Below are 24,683 nucleotides of genomic sequence, written 5' to 3' on the forward strand. Positions count from 1 at the left end.
CTTCTCCCAGGGCTCAGCAGATGCAGGTGACAAGAGGGTGGGACCCCTTCTCCCAGGGCTCAGCAGATGCGGGTGACAAGAGGGTCTGTGGGTTAGTCTGGCCCTGACAGAGCTGGGAAGCAGGCCGGGTGCTCTTTCCAGGACTCCACAGGGCATCGGTTGCAGGAGGAGCTCTTTGAATGAGGACCTAGCTGGAGCAGCCATGGCGAGTGTGTAGTGGATGGGGAAGGGGCCTGCAGGTGAAAGGGGGACGAGCCATTTGTCCTCCCTGCCTCCCTGTCTCTCCACAGCCCAGCTCCTGGGTGGGTTGGGGCGGCGAGTGTTGAGCAGGGTGTGTGGGTGGGCTCGGGGGAGGGCAGTGGATGTAGGAGAGAATTTGGAGGGAAGTCAGTGTCTTTAGCCATAGGAGACAAGACATGTTAAGTCCAAACTCTTCTGAGACAGGAGGAAACCTGCTGGTGTAGGGCCCTGTGTGCCTGCACATTCCGAACAGCCCCGGGGAGGGTGCGTGCCTGTTATTTTGCGGAGAAGACGTTAAATCCAGGTGGGGAAAGCCCCGGGTGTGGAGAGTTGTTGAGTGGCGCAGAGCCACTGTGCTGCTGGTGTGTGTCCCCCAGGAGGAGTCGTGAGTTCCAGTCTCTCCAGGACTCCTCTAAATCCAGGCAGGTGGCCACTCTGGCCACCAAGGTCGCTGAGGCTAGCAGTAGAGTCACGCCCATGTCACCTGCTAACCCGGCTGTCCCTGGGCTCAGGGCTCCAGCGTCACCGCCCTGCCCCCACTTGCCCTAAGGTCTGAGGAGGGGATGCAAACCCACCTGTAAGTGGGCATCGTTCACCCGGTGTCAGATCCTGAGGGGAAGAGACAGGCGTTCTAGGTCTCCCAAGGCCCAGGCTAATGCCCGCAGCATAGTGGATGGTCGGGGAGCACAATTTTGAATTAGAGCACGTGTCTGTGTGTAGGCAGCTCACTTACCAACTCACTTTCATCCAAATCCCAGCTCCAGGGCCCACCCACGGAAGGATCCAGGCAAGTCAGCCCCTCCCGGGTGGGCCTCAGGTGTCCCATATGTAGAATGAGTGGCCAGCCCACCTTGTCATAGTGAGGAAGGAATGAGGCCCTAGGGGTGAGGTGCCCGAGTCAGAGAAGGCCCTCGGGCCTGTCCACCAGCTGCAGGCCAAGCACGGGCACTTCTGCCCGCCTCCGGCACGAGGCTCCTGCAGCTTGCCACATTTCCCTTTTTGCTTTGGCCAGCGGGAAGCCAAAGTGCAGCCCAGCCTCAGTCTCCGAGGAGGCTCCACTTTGTCCTCCTTTCCTCATGTGTCTTGTCCCTGGGTCAGATGGCTTTTCGTTTCTTTTTCCATTCTGCTTTGTGTTTTTGTAAGCTGCTTCCTGTCTCCCATGAACCATGGGCTCTCCACACATAAACACACACACAGCATATGAACACACACACAGGCTGGCCAGGCTGACAGAGCTGTGCCCACTTCCCTGGGGCTGGGGCCGGGAGGCCAGCAGCTGGCTCCCTCTGCCTGTGCCAGGCCCTCCACTTGAGAACCGGCCCTGTGGTTCCCAGCCCCGTTCCCTGCCTCAGTCTTTGTCTCGGCTCTGCAGAGGCAGGCACAGCCCATCCTGTGCCAGGCCTCACTGAATTCTGGCTCGGGCAGTCCTCCTCCGAGTCCTCATTTGTGGGCACCTAAATGTGCATCTCACAAGGCAGTCCCGCCTTCGTGACTCCCTGGCATTGAGGCTCGGGTTACGCCGAGCTGACTCATTTGTTGGAGTGAGTGGGGCTGTGCGGCTCGCAGCTGGGGGGGCTGGACCACAGCCGGGGGGCGGTGAGGGGACGGATCGCAGCCGGGGGGTGGTACGGGGGATGGATCGCAGCTGGGGAGGTACCGATCGCAGCGAGGGGTGGTGTGGGGGGACAGATCACAGCCAGGGGTGGATACCAGTCAGCAGTAGGAAGTGAATGAAACACAGCAGTCAAGCCCTGAGGGGATTAGCGTCCTCAGGGACATCAGGCGCTGACCTAACCCTAGCAGCCCCGGCCTCACACAGCAGCAGGCTGCTGTGGCCACCCATAGCCGGCCCATCCAAGGGTAACGGGGCAGGGGCTCTGTGCCAAGTGACCCCCTCCCCACTCCTGCAGTCCCTAAAGGGGAAGGTGAAGCAGGCGTTTCCCCAGCAGACAGGGAGGAGAGCCACATCTGAGCCCACGGCCATGTAATTGGAAAGAGGCCTCCCGCAGTCACGCCCGGAGCCTCCCGCCCCACAGCCTGTGGTGTCTTCCAGGGGCACCAGCCTGAAGAGCTGTGACAAAGCCCCCTGCCCTCTCTGGACAACAGCTGAGGATCCTGCACAGGGCACATACCCAGGTCACCTGGGCCCTGGTGACAGACACAGCCGGAGAAAACCTGCCCTTCCCCAAGCCCCAGCACAGCCCGGAAGGCTCAAAAGCCCCTGTGCTCATCCCTGTGGCTGCAGTGACAGATGCCACCACGCCGATGGCTTCAAGCAACATAAGTTTACTCTCTTAGATCTCGAGGATTCTGGAGGCCAGATGTCCAAAATCAGTCTCGCTGGGCTAAGTCAAGGTGTCAGCGGGCAGGTGCCTTCTGGACGTTCTGGGGGCGAATCTGTTTCCTTATGTTTTCCATGGAAAATGGAGAGGCCACCCGCGGTCCTCGGTCCCCGCCTTGTGTCACCACAGCCTCTGGTGTGCGTCAGCCTGGCGTCTTCCCCTCTTCTGTGCCCTTCTCTCTCGGGCTCCCTGTCATGAGGGCTCTTGTGGGTACGTTGGGGCCCACCTGGATAATGCCCCCATCTCAGGAGCCAACATTTCATCACAGCTGCAAAATCCCATTTGCCCTATAAAGTGTCATTTACAAGTCCCAAAAATTCGGTGATGGATGTCTTTGGGGCCCACCATTGAGTCCCCCATACCCTCTCTCACACTTGGGCATCAGCTATTACCGAGGACCTCCTGTGGCCACCGGAGTTGCTGGCGCTGACCCCAGCTAGTGGGAGCCACCACAAAGCCCCGCACCTGGCCCTCGGGTGGGGCCCCAGCGGAGTGTCTTGAAGAGGCTGGAATCAGGAGTGCTGGCCCGAACATGGAGTGAATCATGACTCGCAGGCCAGGCGGTGGGGAGCCCCCGGTGGGAGCTGGGAGCAACAATGCCCGAGCTTGGGATATCGGAAGGCCGGGCTCTGTTCTCGTTACCTAGATGCCCATGGAGGTGCCCAGCGGGCTGCCCGCTCTGCAGGACTGATTTTTATCTATGTGGGAGCTCAGCTGCAATTACGGAGCTAGAGGAATTGGCTCATTCAGTGCCAGTCCCAGGATCCTCATAGGGGGCCTCCTCGCAGCAGCCTTGAGGTGCCCAGCTGGGACTGAGACCCAGCGAGACAGCGGACTCAAGGGGAAGATCTGCGGAGCCTTGGCCGGGACGCCGCTTTGGAATGCTGCTTGGACGGCAGAGAGGCCTGGACGCCCCTCCGTGGTGGAGGAGCAGGGCTGCAGACCTCCTGGCCTCCAGTCACCCTTCTGTCTGGGATGTGCTCGAGAGACACTGGGTGACAAGATGGGTGTCTGAGGCCCTGACAGGCAGGAGTCAGATTCCCCTTGTCCCTCTGACATCTCAGATCACACACCAGCTTCTCTGAGCCCTCCTGGTGGGGGCCAGGGCCCACCCACCCCCTTTTCCTCGGCTATATGTCACCCTGATGACACCAGAGAGAAGGGCTTGGCATTTGAGGAGCAGCGCTGAGAGCCGTGGCCTCGGCAGTTCTAACGAGGCCCCAGACAGTGAGTCCTCTCTATTTCGACCAGTCAGAGTCTGGGTGGTCACTGGTAGAAGGAGATCTCGCCGTCCAGGGTAATCGTTGTAATCCGCGCAGCCCAGAGCTTTCTTCACAGCCCATTGCCCTGATGAGGGTGGAAGGCCCATGGCCGGCAGCAGAGTGGGGGCAGGCTGGGGCGGATGGAGGAGGCCTGTTCCTGGGGAAGGCCGAGAGGGGTCCTCTGGCATAGCTCACTGCTGACCCCATTCAAAAGGCTTTTCTGAAACGATGTGGAGAAAGTGCTGGAAAGAGCAGAGACATGATGGGAAGTGGATGCCAGCTTGGGGGCTCAATGCTCCCCTCAGCGTTCTGGGGCCTTTGGAGTTCCCAGCAGCGAGGTTTATAAAATTGAGATCAAATGGGCATGATCTGAAGTTGAAGATCGGCTGATTCCTCTCCGGGGTCAGCCACATGAAAAACCAGGGCCTGCGTTCACAGGACCAACACTCAAAATGTCCCTTCTACGCTGCACAGTAACAGTCCAGGAAAATCCACCTTAATCCTCCAGCTGCAACTCGGGGGCACCCAGATCACCCCAGGTGACCGTCCTGGAGTCTCAGCTGCTCTCTGTTATGGCAACAGATGTCCTTTGAAAATGCCCGATTAACCCTTTGCACCCGAGAGTCTCATTTTAATTCCTGGACATGCGTCACCTGGGTGGTGCATTTGGCAGGCTCCCAGCCCGCTCCTGGTCAGGTCAGCAGACCCCAAAATGGGCAGGGCCTCTGCATCCTCACACTTCCCCTGCCTGGCCAGACCCTCCCTGCAGCCCTCCTCCAAGGGTGGGTTTCAGGCTCCACATGGGTTCCCAGCCCTTCTCTGAGGGGCCCAAGCTCCCAGCCAGCCGGAAGACAGAGGTGATGCTGTCCCTAAACACCCACCTGAAGGCACTTGGCCTGGCCTGGGCTCCTGGTCCCGAGGGTGCTGAACCTGGGGCTGAGGAAAGCCCACAGTCTCCAGGCTGCACTCAGCAGCTTCCCCAAAGGCCATCTGCAAACCCAAGGATGGTGCCAGGCTCTGAAGCTCCTCCACGCCCTCCTGAAGGAGGCAGGCCCTTGGGGTCACCAGACCTGTTCATGGACGAACACAGAATGGGGCAAGACCAGGAAACCCAAGCTGACGGGCACCCTCAAACCCTGCTACCAAGGACTCCTCCCCGCTCAGCCTCTGGGGCGCGAGGACAAGCGACGGTTCCCCAGGTATCCCAGGGCCCCTCGGTAGGCGCCCAGGAGCCCTTGGCCAAGAAGCCAGAGCAGGGTGGCCCCTCCGGGGGGGAACCGGGGCCAGACAGCAGGAGGGCACTCGCCCGACGGCACTTCACTAGCCGGAGGCATTGGGCCTCGGGGGGCGGTCCGGGAGGCAGGCAGCCACAGTGAGCTGGAGTGACGAGAAGCTCTTTCCCATTATGGGTTCATAATGGGGCCAGCAGGTGCCACGCTGGGCTGCTGCGCCACCGCCTCAGGGCCACTGTGGCCCCTGCACACCCCCTTGAGGAGTCCCCTGTGAGTGCCCTGAGTGGTGGGGCAGCCTGGCAGCACCCTGACAGCTGAGAACTCACAGGAGGCCACCGCCCCACAGGCCTTTCGCTCCCCCGTGGCTGTGGCCGGCCTTCAGGGCAGAACCGGTGCCGCAGGCCTCACCTCATCAAAGGCGGTCTTGGCCCTGCTGGTGGTGCCTCCTCCGTGTGCCAGCCCAAGCCTCGCCACAGGCCTGTGGGTGGGGACATTTTACAAATGAGGAAACTGAAGTCCAGAGACACAGCGAGTGCAGAGCTGGGGTCGGGACAGAGCTAGGGCTGGCTGTGGAGCCAGGCGCTTCCCTCCCACCCTGAAGGTTCCCTCCAACATGCTGCTGCGCACCTCTATCCAGGGGCAGGAGGCTGCCTCCCTCCCTCCTGAACCCCCTGCTCCCCCTGCCCTGATACCGGCAGCTGGCTTCCACAGGCAGCAGCTCTGCGAGGGGCTGGCAAGAACAGCCACAGTGAAATGCCTCACCCTTCTCCGGCCCACCCCACCCCAAAATGTCAGTCCATAGGTAAGGAAAGCTCTCTGAACATGTGGGGCACAGAGACCTGCCCCTGCAGGCATCTTGGAAAAATCGCGTTTTATGGAAATAAGACCATGCACTCGGCAACCTGCCACATGGAGCCTGGGTCCCCCGGGCTGAGGTGGGAGCAAGGTGGGAATTAGCTTGCAGCGTCCAGCTGCCCTTCTTTATTGCCTTGAAAGTTTTGTCACCGAAACCCTCGTGCCCACTTAATCCAGTGACAGAATCAGGGTAGTGTTGCGCCTGCTCCTCTGTTGAACCCCAGCATGCTCGGTGATTCGGGGGAGAAGTCCTGCTGGACTCGCCGCGGTCGGGACCAGAGAGAACCCATGCCCCAACAATCTGGAGCAGCCTCCTCCTCTCTAGTCCTTCTGAGCCTTGAGGCCGAAAGCTTATCTTCGTTGTTCCCGTCCCTTGCAGATGGCAGCCCTCCAGAGCCCCTTCTATGGAGATAAGATGAATCTCTTCTCCCTGTGCCAGAAGATCGAGCAGTGTGACTACCCCCCACTCCCCGGGGAGCACTACTCCGAGAAGGTGAGTTTGCAGGAGCCGGAGGCCTCGCCAGCCCCAGGAGGCCACCGAGGCTTATGAGGGCCGCTCCAAAACACCACAGCTGTGGGGCTGAGGTTAGGCTCACTTTACACGGTGCAGAAAGGGAGCTTTCTGGAAAAGTGACTTGGAGAGGGGAAAGTAGGTGATTGCACTGAAGAAGGGGTTTCACCACGCAGCTCCAGTGTGGGACCCCCAGGTAGGAACCAGTGGCACGTGGCCCTTGGCACATCTCCACCTGTTCAGCTCCCAACTTGGTGCTCCAGTGGGAGGCCCTCTGCTGCAGGTCCCCAGGACAGGGTCTGTGCCGTGCCAGACATGGGAACTGATACAGGGGCAGGATGTGGCAGGCCTGGCGTCCCCATACCACCAGTGGTGGCCACTCTGCTCCCATGACAGGAAACTACGGCAGGAGGACCGGTCAGTTTCCTCCTTATATAACAGACTTAACACCCTGGGCTTCTACTGTCAACATTTTACACTGGCTGCGGGAGCCGTGGACACAGCTCCCATGGGTCTGGCATGGGGCTGTACCAGTTACTAGGAATGTGTGAATATCTTATTCCTCGGCTCCGTCACCTTGAAGATGGGACTAATAATCTCCTTGGTGGATAATGGTGAGGAAGAAAGGACAGGTTTCCTGGCACAGCAGGGTCAAAAGTGTAGATACATGTTCACACACTCTCTGCACTGTTCCTAGGTGAGTCACCTAACCTCCCTGAGTCTCAGTTTCCTCACCTATACAATGGGGATAATATTAAATCTTCCACACAGGATCAGCATAAGGATTAAGGTAAGGCACCAGGCTAACACTGCCACCACCATCCAAAGTGGCCAATGGATGGGGCCTGGCTCAGTCAGTGTTCACTAAATATCATGTGACCCTTATTTCTGTTCAAGGTCAACGCTAGTGGGTGAGTCTGGGGCCTCCGTGGGCCCACCCCATAGGACCACAGGCCGTCACCTCACGATAATAACAGCTCATGTTCAGACTTCCTGAGTTGAATCTTCCCCTCACCCATTTACCAATAAGGAACAGACAGACACAGGCAAGTTAAAAAGACCGGTGAGGCAGGATCTGAACCCACATGCGCAGCCACGGAGCCATCGTGCTTCTTGATGGCATGTCTTTGGTGGCCCATCAATTAGCTGGGGTGAGGCTCTGGAAGGAGTGCCCTTGCCCCGGCCAAACTGCACAGGGCAGGTCCTGGGTGCTGCGCTTGTGTCCAGGCCGGAGGCTCCTCGCAGGGCACCTGTGCTGAGCCTGTGCTTGCTGGCGTTGCAGACTCCAGGGCTAGAGGAGCTCGAGTGTCGGGCGCTGCACAGTGCCCTTCCTCTCCTGGCTCCCAAGTTCTGACCTGCACTTTTGGAGGAAGTATTTCTCCTCCCCAGTGGGAGGAAAAACAAGTTGCATCTCTTTACAAAGTTAATAGTTGCCATTTGCTTTTTTCCTTTCTCATCTTCTGAATTCGGACTTGTGTATGATTCAGAAGCTTGAAGCTGTGCAACTGGAGCTGGTGACAACTCTGTGCTTTGGCTGTCAGTCTAGAAATGGGAGTCGCCCTCTCTACTTCAGTGATGAGGCTGAAATGAACATTGAAGCCCCTGTCCCAAGTCAGCCCTTTCCTGGCCACGAGCCCCCACTCCCCGGAGCACTGGCTCTCGCCGGGCCCCATGCTTAGGAGTGAGAGGTGGTGCTCAGGAGCCCCCAGCACACCCTATTTTAAAGTTATATCGCTGCTTAGAAATGAAAATAAGACACTTTTATTATTTTTCTCTTGAATTCTGAAAACTTCAAACATGCACTTATTGACAACTGTGCGTTTACTTCATAAATTAGTTCGGGTCACAGACACTTCACCTGAATCTGGTTTTCTTGGGTATTTTAACCTGTCAGAGGCCAACCACAGGTACCTTCCCCCGAATATTGTAAGGTTCAGAAAACAGCTGTCTTGTCCACAGGCGACTTCAGACTCCGGGAGTGGCCTAGCAGGCTGCAGGCCCTGTGTCACCTGGGCTTCTCGGTTGTAAGGCATGCACGCAGGTGCGAGGGGATACCCTAAGGCTCTGTGGCCCAGGGAGAAAATGCCCCATCAGCTGAGAGGAGCCCTAGTCTACAGGAAGCCCAGGCCCCATCCCTCAGCCTAACGGGCCTGCGCAGCAGTAGCCCCCGGGCCTCCAGAACGTCCCGTGGGCCCTTCCCAGTCCCTGAGTGAGTGTGGCCACTGAGACCACCAGAGCCCCCTCTGGTTCAGGACCACCCAGCTTCCTGCTGCTGCTGCTGCTTCGGCTGCTGTGGCCTGCGGGGCTGACCACCCCTCCAGCAGCAGGTATTTAAATGGAAACCAATGGCTGTGAGCCCGTGATGCAGGGTAAGATGTAGGCATTTTAAGGTCATTATTTTAATTACCATTAAAATAATTGGCACTCCGGCTATCAGAAGAATGGAGGCGATCAGAGGCGCAAGGCGCCCCTCCCCCACCTCGGGGCGGGAGCAGCCTTCAGTGTCTGTATAATTAAAAGCTCCGTCTTTCATGAGCACAATAAAGGGGCCGGGGGTGGGCAGACTGCAGCCCTGCTGCATGTTAATGCGTTTATTATGATCAATAAGCCCTTGCCTTGAGTTTTGTCCTCTGGTTTGGGCATCTGCGTGACTGACAGCAGACACACACACACACACACACACACACACACAATTTGCCCAATGGTGTGGACAGCTACAAGTTCAAAATAATTTGGAGGTTAACCATTCTTAGGGTCTCAAAGCACAGCCTTTGGGACTAGACAGGCCTGGGAGGGGTACTGGCTAGCCCTTGGGAGCCATGCGGCTGCGCACCCCTTACTTGCCCCAGCTAAACACCGTTCTTCAGCTCTAACGGGGACAACGGGACCATCTAGTTGCTCTGAGGATGAAGTGCCTTCATGCAGACAGACTGTGGAGTGCGGAGCCTCAGTAAGACTGCTTTCTTGAGAATAACACACCATTCTCTCCCCTGCAGTTACGAGAACTGGTCAGCATGTGCATCTGCCCTGACCCCCACCAGAGACCTGACATCGGATACGTGCACCAGGTGGCCAAGCAGATGCACATCTGGATGTCCAGCACCTGAGCGTGGATGCACCGTGCCTTATCAAAGCCAGCACCACTTTGCCTTACTTGAGTCGTCTTCTCTTCGAGTGGCCACCTGGTAGCCTAGAACAGCTAAGACCACAGGGTTCAGCAGGTTCCCCAAAAGGCTGCCCAGCCTTACAGCAGATGCTGAAGGCAGAGCAGCTGAGGGAGGGGCGCTGGCCACATGTCACTGATGGTCAGATTCCAAAGTCCTTTCTTTATACTGTTGTGGACAATCTCAGCTGGGTCAATAAGGGCAGGTGGTTCAGCGAGCCACGGCAGCCCCCTGTATCTGGATTGTAATGTGAATCTTTAGGGTAATTCCTCCAGTGACCTGTCAAGGCTTATGCTAACAGGAGACTTGCAGGAGACCGTGTGATTTGTGTAGTGAGCCTTTGAAAATGGTTAGTACCGGGTTCAGTTTAGTTCTTAGTATCTTTTCAATCAAGCTGTGTGCTTAATTTACTCTGTTGTAAAGGGATAAAGTGGAAATCATTTTTTTCCGTGGAGTGGTGATTCTGCTAACATTTTTATCTACGTTTTATAACTTGGTGAGTGACGATGAGAGCCCTGCACCTGGCCAGAGTGTCACAGGCAAAAGGCATCGGGAAGCAGGAGCATCTTCTTGGCAGCCAGGCTGGGCCATCTTCTCCTGGACACCTGCTGTGTACCAGGAACTTCGTCACCTCCTTGAATGCTGGCGGTTCATTTCATGATCAGTGTTAAGCATTTTCCTCCATGGGAAGGAAGCATGGGATATAGAAAAGCGAAGGGCTGTCCTTTACAAATTCTGGTTCTGCAACTTCCTAGCGTGACTTTGGGCTTGGGCAAGTTTCTTAGCCGTTCTGAGCCTTCATTTCCTCATCTGTACAATGAGATTAATAGTACCTATCATCTACCTTCAGGATTGCTGACAGACAGAATTTGAAATAAAATATGCAAGTTAGCTAATACAAAAAGTAGATGATCCAAAAATGGTAGCCACTCACCCTTCACAAACTGAAGTCCATGGACCACGGAAGTCGAGAATTAATGTACACCTGTATCATGTGTAGGAAACCAGAAATGTGTTCCTTATTTCTTGTTCCCAAACAGGATTAACTGTGAAGACTAATTTATAAATGTGAACCTAAGAAAACTCCACCTCTGAAGGAAATCATTTGAATTTTGTTTTTGTACGTAAAGTTAACCTTCCAATTGTCTGAGCTGTCGTCACTGACTTCATGACAGTCTGGCCCTCCAGACAAGAGCAGCGCTGGCATCGGGCAGGTGATTCCTGACACCTGCTGCCTGCAGGCATTCACTGACCAGGCCTTTCCTGGAGGAAACACCCAGGGCCGGGCGGCTGCTGTTTCCACACGTGGACTCGGATCTGCTGTGACACCGTCAGCCCGACAGTCTCTCCATATGCAGCCTTTCCTCTGTACTTTTCTCCATGGTTGAAATAAAACAGGGTGACTGGGAGTTACTTAGAATTCATGAAGATTTTAAAATGGCTTTGGAGATTTTGCTTTTAAACCAGTAGATTCAAAACTTAAACAGCGTCTGCAGCACAATTTCTTGAGGAACCTTGAAAAACACAACTTCCCAGGCCCCATTCAGTAATCCCAGGATTTCTTTAAGCTCCCCAAATAATTTTGAAACTCATCATCAGCCGAGTTTCTGCCCTCATGAGGTAATTCCATCGTTCTCCCCAGCCTGCCCCTGGCAGCTGTAACACAGGAGCTGGCCTGAGAGCAGATTCACCCTGGAATGTTCTCTCCACAGAACAATCAAGTCCCTGTCGCCTGCCTAGTGCTTACCACTGAAGATTTTTCTGATTCCAGACCAACTTTTTGCCAACATTCTGCTTCCAGCTCTCTGAGCCCCTGCCGTGTCTCCCCAACACTGCCAGCCCCAGCACGCAATCAACCTACTTTGTGCATGCCACCCGCTTTCCACACTGTGAGAACAATCTGCCCAACTGGACCCTCTGGAGGCGCACGATCTCAGCCACTCACCAGGCCTGAGTGTTTGTGAAATGATCATGTCCTACTTATTACAAAACCGTAACCCCAAAACATTCCTTTTATTTCTGTGAAACCGGCCAAAGTGAGGTCCACCCACCTTCACACAGCTCTGGCGGTGCACCTGCTCACCTTCTCTTGGTTCTCAGAACTGAGCTGGGCTTGAGAACACAGCTTTGGCTTTGCCATTTTTTTCCTACTTGGCTGCTGAGGTGGAGGGTGTGCTGCACTTATCACCCCATTTCAAAACCAAACCAAACCTGAGGCCACCCCAAACAAATTCAGCCAGCAAAAAGGGTAGGTATCGATGGTCACCTGAAGCCTCAAGGGAGTCCACTCTGACTTCTGACAGCAGACAGAACCTATCTGTCCTCAGGAGGGGCGCATGGCTCCTACGCTCTCCTCTGAGCCTAGGCCAGTGCTCAAGGAGGATCAGCACCCTGAAGGGCCAGGCCAATGGCCTTAGCAGCCCCCTACTGCCCCCAAAAACACCACACAGTGCCCAGACCTCAGCTGCCCAATTTGGTTTTTGTTTTTTATTGAGTTGAGTTTCATTCGGCAAACACTAGCCACATGAGTGTCTTACTGGGCCTCAATGCTCACCACCTTCCAGAACCGCGGCCAGCCACCCACTGATGCCATTCAGGAAGTGTCCATTGTTTGGACTGTTTCTTCCAGCACCTCAATCTCCAGAGGAGTGATTTTCTCAGTGAGGACTGCAGTAGTCCCTTTCTCACACCTGTACCGGCCAAGCCTAGTAAGAGAAAAACAAAAGCACAGAGTTAGGATTCTCCTCAAGGTGCCAGAGGGCAGAAGACAGTGAAAATAAATATTCAGGCAACGCAGTGAGCAGGCTGGACTGGAATCTTGGCTCTCCCGATCCCAGCTCTGTGATCTTGGGGGATTCAACTTCCTCAGTTCTCAAGTGCTGCAAAATGGGGGTGCCTGGGAGGCAAAGAGTGTCATTAGTGAACACGGCACCTGGCCCTTGGTGGACACGTGACTCTCCCCCCACCCCACCATCCCCACAAGTGCTGGGAAGCACTTGGTCCCTTGACATCAATCTTCAACCTCCCTACAATACTGTTCAGGGACAGCAGGAAGCAAATCCCATCATTACACAAGAGAAGGGCATGATTGCTCTTCCGTGCAGCAACAAGAATGACTTAACTGTTACCTTAGACACTGCACAAACATCTGGAAGCATAAACAGTGTAAAAAAAATGTGCAGCCAGACTCTGGGCTTGTCATTTCAGACCACTCTCAAGTCTCAAGAAAAGTTAACTGTCCCTTTCAGGGACACAGTGGGTCCCCACTAGGACACACCCAACACCTTCTTCCTGGAGTGAATCTGGCAGAGGTTTCTTTGAGCACCAGACTGTCTAGAAGATATGTATTTGGGCTGTTAATGCTCACAGTGGGTCAGGAATTAGGATACTGTCAAATGGCAGCACACAACCAACTGTTCCTCTGCTCTAGCCCCAGCTGGGGTAATATCTCTGTCAAACTTGCTGTCCTTCAGGAACTGCCAGAAGGCTGCTGGCTGTGCCATGGCCTTGTGCTCCCGGAACACCCATCCTCTCCCCTGGACACACGGGCTAAAAGAGGGAGCAGGAAGCAGAACAAGGAGGGCAACTTCCACAGTTCTGCATCCAGGTCAGGAGCACGGTCAGCCCAGAGCGGCCTGCCTTTATGCTGCCAAGCCTCCCCCGACCCCCACCCTCTTAAAGAATCCAAGCAAAAGTACCTTTGAACAATGTGTCCCCACCCCATCAGTTTGAGGATGCCCCTCATCCCTCACACGCTGGAACCTTGGTGGCAGCGTGCAGTCTTAGAGCCAAAGTCCCACGTGGCCTCTGTGTGCCTGACTCCTCTGAACCACCCCTCAGTGTCTCCGGGAGGCTTGGACACACAAGAGCCTCCTCACCACTGTGGTGACAGTGCCCGATTTTTGCGGCATGCATTCAGAGCTTCCGCCTTACGTGCCAGTGGACTGCAAGACCGTGTGCTGGAGGGCTGCGGGCAGACAGGCAGCAGGGACTTGCCAGGCAAGGCCCACTGGCGCATGGCACGGGATGCTTCCTCAGGCCTATCGCCCTGCCCGCACCCTAGCATCCACCCTGGGAAGGGCTCCCCTAACTCAGGCAGTGCCCCCATCTTCAGTCACTGGCAAAGAAGACAACAGAGTCCAGGGAGCTTGGACACTTGCTGCCCTTGGCCCCAGGACACCGATGGGGAGCAGGCTCCCTGCAGGTTACTGCACACCCACCACACGCCCAGCAGCTTCTGGGTCGCCTTGCTGATTCTTCCCAAGCAGCCGCAAGGCGGTTTTCTTTTGTTCTTGGGTGTTTAGAGCCTCTGTTTACAAGTGGAGCAGCCCATGTCCCAGGAAGTAGGATGTGCCACTGCTGCACTCCCTGTGGATGAGGACTCCTGCGCTCAGCACAGGTTCCCTAGGCAACCACTTCTCACTGGCCCAGACGTGGCTTTCAGAGTCCTCGCCCAGGACCCTGGCCAGCCTGAATGGTGTAACCATTCCCTACCCCATCACCGCTTCACCATGGACTTGCTCAAATCACGCATCTTGCAAAATAACCAGCGAAGCAGGCTACATGGAGTACTTGGCTCCTGCCTACCTGGAGCTCGGCAAAGCCCGGTTCCCCAACACAGCTCTGGGCCTGAAAGGTGGCTTGCCTTCCTGCTAAAGGCCCGAGGGACTTCGTGGGCTCATTAGAGGTCATCTGGTTTAGCTCCATTTCCAAGACAGACTGATTTGCTGGAAGCCACCAAGCCAGCCACCAACACTCCCCAACCCCAGTGCCAGCGTTCTCTGGCCCCGTGCTGCCCCACCCCATCAGGAGCCCACTGAGCTTCCGCAAGGTTGAGTGCAGCCCACAGTGAATACCTGCTGGTTCTGAACGTTCCATTCCTTCCTTGTGAATTACTCCTGATGTGGAGTTGTGTGTGCAGTGGGAGATGGAAGCAAGCCTGCAGAAGGTGGTGCTCACTTCCTCGGGGCTACCGTGGAGCTGAGTGGGAGCCGTAGTTTATAAATGCCCTGTGCTGCACCCAGATGCTGCAGCTGGAAGCAGCACTCAGGGAGCCCATCCTGACCTGCCCGGGCTCCCAGAAGAGGTCAGGAGCCACAGGATGGTCAAGCAGCCGGACAATCACGAGACACTGCAAACGAGCTGCTCCTCTGACACATGCTAGCCACCAGGTTTGGAAACCTCCCAGTTCTGCTCAGCAAATCAACTAGAACCTTCTCCCACTGCTCTGAGTCTGCGCTGCACCACTGAGCCGAGGGGCCCACTCGGCATGTAGGCTCAGGCTCAATGGCACAACTCCCTGTAGCACAGCACACACACACTAGCTCCCAAGGCCACCTCTGGGAGGCTGTTAGCATTGCTGACTTACACCCAGTTAGGAATCTCGGGGCACTCTGAGGGAAAGTGCTGGGGCTGCCCTGAAAAATGCACCTTCTCCCAGAAATCAGGGGATTCTTTAAGACACTTGAGAAAGGACAGCAGATGATCCAAACCTCTCCGGCCCCACCTCCCAGCCTAGGGCTCTTTCCTGGGCCACCCTCCACCTCTCCCATCAAATTAAATCACTTTCCTACACCTGACAGCAGCCCACTGTCATAAAGCAAGTAACAAGCCGAAGGTCTGTGTGGGAGGTTGATTTGGGAACACTGGATGTACTTAATGTGGAAAGAACCAGGAAAACTCCATCCAGATGCCATGGAGATACCAAGGGTGGCCACGACGCCAGGGGACCCAGGAAGAACTTCGTCTCCTTCACTCACCTGGTCCCCTTCTTGTTGGGCACTGTGTATGGGCGGAGAAAATCCAGCTTGTTCTTGCTGATGACGCAGAGGTCAATGTTGCTTCCGGAGCCCAGGTCGTTGAAGATGCCAGCTGCGATGGCTTCGCTCACCAGATTCTTGGCTTCCTCCTCCTGAGAAACAGAACGGCGGCAATAATGTCCCCGGCCAAACTAGGGCCTGCTCTGACATCCGCAATGTACGTCCACTAGCAGTGCGCAAGACCTCCCGCGAGACAGGTGTTGTTTTTAATGCCCATCTCACAGATGAGGAAAAGATCTCAAAGTACCTTGATTATTTACCCAAAGTTCCCGACCCAGGCCTTTAAAACTTTTTATGCATGCACCGCCTCTTGACCACATCAGACAATCACCACAAAACGATGGGCTGACAGTTACTAGAGGGTTAGTAACTTATCTTTAAAAGGGCCAGGTAGTAAATATTTTAGGCTTTGTGGCCAAAAGTCTCTACCACACCTACTCAACTCTGTCACGCTAGCACAAAACAGCCACACACAAATACATTAAAAAATGGGTATAACTGTGTTCCAATAAAACTCTATTAGCAACAGGCAGTGGGCCAGATCTGGCCCACTGACTGCAGTTTACTAACTATCCCCTGATCAAGAATGTCCAACAATAGCTGAAAGTTACTTGAGAAAGTCAGCACTGTAGGAGGAAGAAACTAACACCAAAACACAAGCCGGTAGTTCTGGGGAAATGCTGGCAGACCAAGGGCGGGACCTCTTGCCCAGAATAATCTCTCTCTCCTACTAAGGAACCTATAGGTTCACTGAAGTAATCCATTACTTTGAATCACTCTCTCCTTTGCCCCACCTTTAAACACAAATCCCCATCCCTAATAGTTACTGGTGAACAGATGGACTCATCCCTTTCTTATCCGAGAAGCCCCATCACATGCTATGTCCTATCACATGCTATACCAGAAGCTAGGGCTGCAGAGGTGGATGACGCCCCCAGATCCCTGCCCCCTAGGGGCTTAAGAGTCTAGCAGGGGCACCTGACCCAAGTAAGTACAATGCAGGGTAAGGCTGGCTAAAGAGCACGTGAAAAGGAGCTGGGAACACAGCTGGTCAGCAGAGCTTCAGGGAGGGCTGAAGGACAGGCTGCACACGAGGCACTCAGAAAACAGCAGTGAAACAGAAGGCAGGCAGCAACGGCAGTGGTACTGGACCTGGGGAACACCAAGTTCAAGCTCTATATACAACGAGGACAAAAATGAACCAGGCTCCCTGAAAGCAGGGAATCTAACCTGTGCTACGGCGCCTTCCCAGTCCACGAGGGCGTGAGAGTACATACACATGCAAGTGCACTCCAGCGCTCACCCAAGCAACACCCTTGGAGAAACACGGACTCCAGGCCCAAATCCAGCCTGAGACCCTCAAAGGGCAGATCCGCTAACCTCAAGTTTTCAGAAGATCTGAACCCACTGGGGGCTCCTGCTCCTCTGCCTGCCCCATGCCAGACTAGGATTCCAGTGACATAAGCGCCCTCTACAGACTCAGAAGGACAGAGAAGGTTCTGCTGGAAGTGGGCTCCTCAGCAAACCAGCAGATAGGGGTTCCTTTGATATTTATACCCCAGGTTTTTTCACTCTCACGTGACATCTATGTGGGGCCAATGAAGCCAATTCTTCTTTTGTACATATGCAGTCCTGTAAGAATGCATTCAAACGGGATCCGCTAATTAGGAATTTTCTCCTGGAATTCTCAACAGTCTATGGGGCCAGAAGCTTTCCACAAACCAGTGAAGGTGGCAGCAAAGAAAGCCTCTTAGACGAGGAGCTGGCAGCAGCTGCTATCTAGATAGACAGCAAAAACCAACCACTAATTCAGCAAACACAACCTCATACCTAACCGCTTCCCTTTAAATGGCCTTCGGTGTGTGCGCACATGGGCACGTGCGGGGAGAACCATACTTATTCCCCTGTTCCCGGCCTACCACCTCTGCTCCCCCTTCTCTTCTCTACCATTTAACTGTCTCCTCTGCTTTGTTTCTTATCACTGCTGCTGGTGTCTAGAGCCAGCCAGCAGTACCTGGCAGACATCGCGACCCTGCGGGCAGCGCTTAGGACTGCACATTTACATTTCCCAAATGATCTGGGTAGATGGGGACAGGTGAAGACTTGGGGAAACGGAAATATACGAATGACATGAGACATGCATATCTAGTGTCAATCCATTCGACTGGGCACAGGACAGCAGACTGCTGACAGTGCTATGTAAGATTATGAGTGATCCTCCCTCTATTTTGCAAACAGTCTGTAAGTAACTGATAAAACTTTAAAATATGCAAATTTTAAAATTATATAGTTTGATTTACTCATCAAATTATCATGTATGCTGTTATTTAAGTATGAATAAAGGCTTTTTTAAATTGGGAAAATACATCTTTTAAATTCCTTTCCTCCCCACCAATTCTAGGGAAGATCATTCCTTAAGGAAGAAAATCTCAAGTTTCTCACTTTTTTCCCCCCAGTCCCACTCCATGTCTCATATACACATGGCTGAAGATGTTAGGAGATGGAATGAAACTTAGATTTATGGAGCACCTATATGCTCACTAAAACAATCAATCAATCAACATCTACCAGCACTCTAACGTGCCAAGCCCTGAGTTGGGCACTTTGATGATCATCATGTTCACCCCTGCCCCCAACCATCTTTTGATGTTGGTATGGTCAGAAACTCTGGCTGACGGTCAATGACTTACACAAGGTCACACAGCAGGTAAACAAAAAATAGTAAAACAGGCCCATCAGGCCCCAGAGCCACAAGGCCGCAGCACCACACCAACTCGCAAGTGACCTTCCTTGGGCCGGGGGCTCCTCAGCTAGTCCCTGACTCAAGGCTGTGTCATTCACGCCCCACCACCAAAGAGCCTTAAGACCTGGGTAAATTTAAGAGGAGGAGGATGGTGTTTGCCGGTTTCTCTCTGGGCCAACCAGCAGCTCCTCTGATGGTCACTCCCATTGGGGGTTGGAGGGCAGTGTTTCCCAAAATACCCAAGACTACCACTTCAAGGGCCTTCTTCATTCTCAACCAAGTTAGGGCAACATCTCTACAATGCAACACCAGATCAATATTAAGATCTAAGGTCTTATTTAACATATCCCTCCCTTAACACCCCAAACCCTCATAATCAAAACAGCGTGGAAATGACCAAAGGCTCTACTGTCCACCCACTACTTACACAGTTAATGTCTTTAACACACACCTATAGGGACCTACTATGTTCCAGGAACTGCTTCAATGCTGAATACTGTCTCTGACTACAGTATTTCCATACACAGAATTCTAGACACGTATGCAAATATGCTACTGGGCATATTCATACTGTGTTTTCTTTATAGTGGAATTTCACAATTAAACAACTTTTGTCTTTAACATGTGCTACCAAATATTTAAGAAAACTATCAAGAAAAACCACAAACTAAAGGCAAGAGGTGGGGAAAACACCACATTTGTATCTGTCTCCAGCCCACAATAAGCGCAAGAAGCACTGTCTCTTCCTTTAGGATTAGTTCTTCGTAGGGAAACTGCACCTCCCTTTTCTGGAAGATGCAGAGTGACCTAGGGCCTGGGCAGCATCTGCCCGGGGACAGCTGCTACAGAGGGGCCTTGATAAGGGCTCTGCAGAGCCCATGACCCCAGGTGGTCAGGCCCAGGTGCGATGCTCTCTCCCACAGCCAGGGAGGCATCTGCCCCCAGCCAGCTGCCTATGCATTTATGTTGCAGGTCACAAGGGAACCTCAGTGTGGCGATGGGCGAGTAGGCCTTACCCTCGTTACCAAAAAATGGCCCTCCAGGCCAACAGCAGCTTCCTTTTGCTTTCAGACGCTCAGCTAAAAGATCACCATGACCCTGACGATTAAACACCAGCTGGGGAACCCAGGTTCAAGGAGACATGGAGGCAGACAGAATGGGTTTGAATCCCCAGTCTACTACTTACTGCTGGGCAACCCTGGACAAGTCACTACACCTCTCTGAGTTTACTCTCCCGCTCTGTAATATAATGATAATAAATCCAACTTCATAAGATTACTAACAAATTAGAAATAAAGGTACAGAAAGCACCTGCTATAGTTTCTGGCACATAGCTACTGCTTAATAAATGGTAAGTTATTTAGTAAAGCAAGCCAGAGGGCTCCTAAAAACACAACTTATCTCTAAGCAGCAACTGCCTATACCAAACCCCAGGCCAGGACAAGGAGGGCCAAAGAAACCTGCTGACAAATCTTCACACAGTGCCACAGAGAAGTTCCTATAATAATTAATCCAAGCAAAAAGCATACTCCCTAAAGTTCAGAAAATATAAAAGGAACACTTCTTGCTTTATGGCTACAAAGACCAAACTAACTGGGAATATCAGTCCCCCGGGCCACCCCTGCTTCTTAAATGAGATTACAATAAGAGTGATGTACTGTACTACAAGTCAGCTGTGACAAGCAGCACTTTATAGAGCTATCTGTTTGTCTCCATCACCGCATCGCACAATGTGTCCCTGGACTCCAATGTGCAGTTCCATTTACCGCTACATGACAAATGGGCAGCACTTGTAAAAGGCACAAAGAGGTCCACGTCGGCCACGTAATGGTCACCACAGCTGTACCCGAGTGCTTGAGGGGACAAAACAGACCCCCAAGTTCATTAAACTGACCAGTAATGGATCTTTCAAAAAGTGCCTTAGGAATCATACAGAAAAGGCTGAAATAAATAACTCAGCATGGAAGGCAAATCTGAAATGGTGTTTGATAAATTATTTATAACATGGGCGATTGTCTGCATTTAATATTGGAGCTACTAGTAGCATCTTTAAAAGATGATTTATGTGTTGTAATGCTATTAAACTTTATATTGGCCCACTGCTAGCTATAAAGTCTGCTGAGATTTAGAGAATGAGTTTTAAACTGTCACTGCAACATCATAGGAGATGGAGACTGTATTAAATCTTTACTTTAAACCTGTTATCTAGAGAGTTGCATTTTGTAGACACTCACAAACTGATAGATTACCTCGGCATCCACTATAGTGCAGGTCCAAAATAGTACTGCCAAGAAACTTTTTCCGCATTATTCTTGTCTACAGCTACAATCGAATTTCTCTTCTCACTTAAGTGATTTTTAGATTGGGAATGTCACCAGAGAAAAATGTAGCTGTGCCAGCCAATGGGCACTCTGGACAGTTCAGCATCAAATTAATACTCTTTAAATACACCCTCTTCATTTGACTGTTCAGCTATGCATCTCAACACTGCTTTACTTACACTGGAGGCAGGCAAAATATTAAATATGCACTTGACTGAAAACCTAACAGACTATTTTATACATAGCTTTGGAATGTGAAAGTTCATGTATATGGCAAGTCATTTGACATAACTGATTTGTAACTAAAATTTTTAAAATAATTTAAAAAGAAATAAAATTGGTTATTTGCCGGCAAATATATTGTTTATGTAGCTGAAGAGCTGGCCTAGGGGGCAGAAAACAAAGAGATACTCAGCCTTTTTCCTGAGGAACAGGGCTCCCCCAGCTCCAAGGGTTTTCAAGGCAGCACCCAAGTGTCCCTTGCCTTCTGCGCCACCTCCATGCCAGGAGGAAGGGGTGCAGCTCTCCTGCCTTTGCTGGGGGAAGCAAGAATGCGGATGGCATCACGGCGGAATCCTCACAACTTTCATCCATTTCCCTGTGTCTTTCTGAATCTATATTTAGTTCCATTAGTTCACAACCATTTGCTCCTTCATTAACCACTAAGGATTTAACTCGTAAGAAGTGAGGCAGGGGAGGGTTGGGGAGATGCTGGCCAAAGGATACAACATCTCAGTTAGAAGGAGTAAGTTCAAGAGATATATTGTACAACATACTGGTTATAGTTAATAACAATGTATTGTATTCTTGAAAAACAGCTAAGATTTAAGTGTTCTCACCACAAAAAAAAAATTTGAGGTAATGCATGTTAATATATTAGCTTGACTTTGCCATTCCACAATGTACACAAATTTCAAAACATCATTTGCATATGGTAAGTATATACAGTTTTTATTGCCAAGCCAAATAATTAATTTTTTAAAAAGAAGGCAATCCAAATGCAGCTTGGAAAATCTTCATTATCTTTTGTCACTTTGATTTGAAATAGCAAAAAATTCCATTCCTCTGATGATCTAGAGCAGAACAGATAAAAGTCTGGGTGTGATGAGAATTTGGACTCTAAAGAGAGAGGATGAAAATTCTGAACATCAGGGGTCCGCCCTACACCTTCTCCATCTTTGTATCCCAGGGAACTAGCCTGGTGCTTGGCATGTAGGTCAACAAATGAAAAAACGAAACGTTCACTTCAAATGCATGCATGGCTCTGCCAAACTCAAAGACTCTGAAATCATGAGAGAGACCCCTACCAAATGGGGCAATTCCCAAACTGCACCAGTCCCAACTGGAGACCATTCAAAGACAAGCGCTTGAGAGGAGGAGGTCTGAACACGATGTGTTTGTTGGGGGCCTGCTGACAGGCTAAGGCTCTGACTCTGCCACTGATGTGGCCTGAAGACTCATTAATGGTTGATGGTTGAATACAATTGAAAGAGCTCAAAAAAGTGTTTGAAACGGTCTCCGCGAAAGCAGCATGCTCCCTGCACTGAGTCACAGACTTGACGTATCCCATGTATAGCCACATATTTTACGGTAGAAAACTTTTTTTTTCCGGACTGGGCTGTGTGACAAGAGCAAAGGTGTCTAGAGTTTGGAGTTTGGCCTGAGCTTTCTGGGTGAATACGCCTGCCTGTGTGAACACCTAGGAATTCAGCAGAGCCGAGCTGCAGCTGGTGCTGGGCACGCTTAGAGCCGGGAGTGAGCCAGTGACTGCATCTTTAACGCCTAGCTGGTGTTGCCATTTCTTTCCTTGATAGCTTTTTTTTTGGTACCAGGATCTGGGTGACACAAATAATAAAGGAAAAACTTGCTGTGCGTGCAGGAGTTTTAGGGGTTTTAAGTGGGAATGGGAAGGGGTGCTCATGTTCACGAAATTGCCAGCCAGGTCTGTCCTAGGTCACTGAGTGATGCCTGTCAGAACTCGCAGCCAGGAAGAGATGTCAGCGGCTGCACGGCCACAATGGGCTGGAAAAGGGTAGCCCAGAATGAGGACAGCCCTGGACAGCGGGTCACTCTCTGAGCCAAAGAGTGCCCTTCGTAAGTATGAGAATAATGCCTCTGTCCAAGGAATAAAATGAGAGAAATGACCCCAACACAGCAATTTCACAAACAGGACGGTTAGCACGTCCTAGGGTCGAAGAAAACAGGCAAGGGTATGAGAGAACTAACACCAGGCACCTGCCACACCCCCGGGTCTGAGCCAAACACTTGCGTTATTTATTGAATTCCCAACTGCTGGTACAGATGAGGAAACTGGGGCTCTCAGAAAGGTTGGCTGATGCACTCAAAGGCACAAGGCTGTGTACAAGCAGGAGAGTCGGGGATGCATGCCAGATTAGTGCCTGGCACCACCAAAGCCTGTCTTCCTATCCCACCATTAGGAAAATCTGTGGCGGGCAAGTGGTTTTGCTGGAATCCGTGACAGTGAATGGAAGGAAAAATACCTAAGCTTCCAGAGGGAAAAGAACCAAAAGAGACAAGAACATATTGCTTTCCACAAGGAGAAGAAATCAATGTTCACAGCATATGTGTATACAAATATATATTTCCAAGGCTACACTGAATCAAATGTAATCAGAGAAAAAAAAAAAAAAAAAGAAAGCCTGGGTTTAAAGAAAAGTGAGAAATATGCTCAACAATCCTCAAAACGAAAACCAGGCTGTGGCAGATACTAATAAGATCCTCATCACATTTCTCTCTCTCTGCAAAAACAACGCGGCCCGTGATAACTCTGGCAATAAACTCCTGGAGCCACGGAAAGGGCTATCACCTGAAAACACAGAGAAATGAAGTGAATCTGTTTCATGGGTCACAACAAAGCAGCAGCCAGCACTAGAATTTCTCAGGATAAGGAGAGTAAGCAATGACAGAAATCCAGTCCTGTCAGAAGCAGAGACTGAAATCAGGGTCTGAGACCAGCAGAAGAGCCGCGTTCCCACCTCCAACATCTGGATAGGACAAAACCACTGCTAGATGCTGGGCACATGTGGGAAGGCTATCACAGGCACTGTGTTATATGACATGATCCTTCTTCCACAGCCTGACAAGGCCCAGGCAGAACCAGAAGGAGATCCAAGGAAGTACAGAGTGCTCTTGTTCTAGGAAGTTTAAAGATGGCCAAAATGAGGCAAATTTCAAATGATGCAAAACTCCTGCAAAACGGCCAGGTTAGCTTAGCTCAGCAAGCATCACGAGCGGCCTGCTATGAACACACCGCACACGCTGTGCTGAACAATGGAGACAGGCCTGAACACAGAGCCTGCCCATGAGAATTGTGGAGCCCAGAAGGGGAAACAAGGAGATAATCTCATTACAATGAGGTAAGAGCTAGCTAGAGACAGGCCTGACAAAGGAGCCACAGATGGACACGGGTCTCGTGGGGTGCAGGTGATGGAGACTGGGCAGGGTCTTGTAATACAAGTGAAAGGTAGCCAAGTCAAAGGGCAGACGTGTAGGCAGGAAGAGAGCCATGAACATGGGAAGGAGAAAGGTGTGGTCGAGTAGGTAGTTCAGTGTGGCTGATTGCCAGAGAACCTCACAGGCTATACAGACAGCCCACCCTTTATGCTAAGCAGCAGGAAGACACAAAAATTTCTACCTGGAAAATGATGTACAGTCATGTACCACGTAACATTTTGGACAACAACGGACTGCATATACAACAGTGGTCCCATAAAATTATCATGAAGCTAAAAAAACTCCTCCAGGCTGGCTATAGTGGCTCACACCTGTGACCCTGTAACGCTGGGAGTCCTGAGCTCAGAAGCTCGAGACCAGCCTGGGCAACATAGTGAGACCTTGTCTCTATAAAATAAAAGAAATTAGCCAGGTGTGGTGATGTGCACCTGTAGTCTCAGCTACTTGGGAGGCTGAGGCAGGAGGATTACTTGAGCCTGGGAGGTTCAGGTTGCAGTGAGCTGTGATCGTGCCACCGCACTCCAGCCTGAGAGACAGAGCAAAACCTTGTCTCAAAAAACGAGAGAGAAAGGAGAGAAAGAGAGAGAGATTACTATCACTTTCTACCTTCCAGTGAGGTAAGATGTGGACGCAAAAGACGGTGATACTGATGGCCCTGGCCCTGCAAAGGTCTACACCAATGTGTGTGTGTTTGTGCCTTAGTTTTTAACAAAACATCTA

At 52.1% G+C, this 24,683-nt stretch overlaps 2 protein-coding genes and 1 long non-coding RNA gene across 23 annotated transcripts in view, besides 3 other annotated features; 2 read left to right on the forward strand and 1 right to left on the reverse strand.

Annotated features, from left to right (window-relative positions):
- Window positions 1-11,909, forward strand: part of NEK6 (NIMA related kinase 6) — a 95,702-nt gene extending 83,793 nt beyond the window's left edge. For 13 of the 21 annotated variants that reach the window (NM_001166167.2, NM_001145001.3, NM_014397.6 and 10 more), the window contains 2 exons: window positions 6,311-6,424; window positions 9,439-11,909. In NM_001166167.2, the coding sequence (NP_001159639.1) occupies window positions 6,311-6,424; window positions 9,439-9,549 (225 nt within the window). In that variant the 3' untranslated portion in view covers window positions 9,550-11,909. The other 8 variants (XR_007061235.1, XR_007061234.1, XR_007061237.1 and 5 more) reach the window with 1 other exon arrangement.
- Window positions 1,027-1,898: an enhancer, noted in NCBI's record as "H3K4me1 hESC enhancer chr9:127104704-127105575 (GRCh37/hg19 assembly coordinates)". NCBI's record gives its function as "activates a minimal SCP1, AML or CMV promoter by ChIP-STARR-seq in naive and primed H9 embryonic stem cells {active_cell/tissue: H9 hESC(naive and primed)}" and the evidence as "EXISTENCE:reporter gene assay evidence [ECO:0000049][PMID:30033119]".
- Window positions 1,899-2,771: an enhancer, noted in NCBI's record as "H3K4me1 hESC enhancer chr9:127105576-127106448 (GRCh37/hg19 assembly coordinates)". NCBI's record gives its function as "activates a minimal SCP1, AML or CMV promoter by ChIP-STARR-seq in primed H9 embryonic stem cells {active_cell/tissue: H9 hESC(primed)}" and the evidence as "EXISTENCE:reporter gene assay evidence [ECO:0000049][PMID:30033119]".
- Window positions 12,057-12,226: an enhancer, noted in NCBI's record as "experimental_106555 CRE fragment used in MPRA reporter constructs". NCBI's record gives its function as "activates a minimal promoter by MPRAs in K562 erythroleukemia cells, with activity observed for both the introgressed and non-introgressed 9:127115819 variant alleles {active_cell/tissue: K562}" and the evidence as "EXISTENCE:reporter gene assay evidence [ECO:0000049][PMID:34662402]".
- The window catches only part of PSMB7 (proteasome 20S subunit beta 7), a 61,978-nt gene continuing 49,361 nt past the window's right edge, over window positions 12,067-24,683 (reverse strand). Inside the window, exons 7-8 of the mRNA NM_002799.4 lie at window positions 15,366-15,517; window positions 12,067-12,311 (exon numbers count right to left, since the gene is read on the reverse strand). Of these exons, the coding sequence (NP_002790.1) occupies window positions 12,200-12,311; window positions 15,366-15,517 (264 nt within the window). The 3' untranslated portion in view covers window positions 12,067-12,199. The remainder of the gene's footprint in view (window positions 12,312-15,365; window positions 15,518-24,683) is intronic.
- Window positions 12,075-17,788, forward strand: LOC100129034 (uncharacterized). The gene has a single exon (NR_027406.1). It is a non-coding gene; the product is annotated as an uncharacterized LOC100129034 (long non-coding RNA).

This window comes from Homo sapiens, chromosome 9, assembly GCF_000001405.40.
Source record: "Homo sapiens chromosome 9, GRCh38.p14 Primary Assembly".
In the NCBI taxonomy this organism is placed as follows: domain Eukaryota; kingdom Metazoa; phylum Chordata; class Mammalia; order Primates; family Hominidae; genus Homo; species Homo sapiens.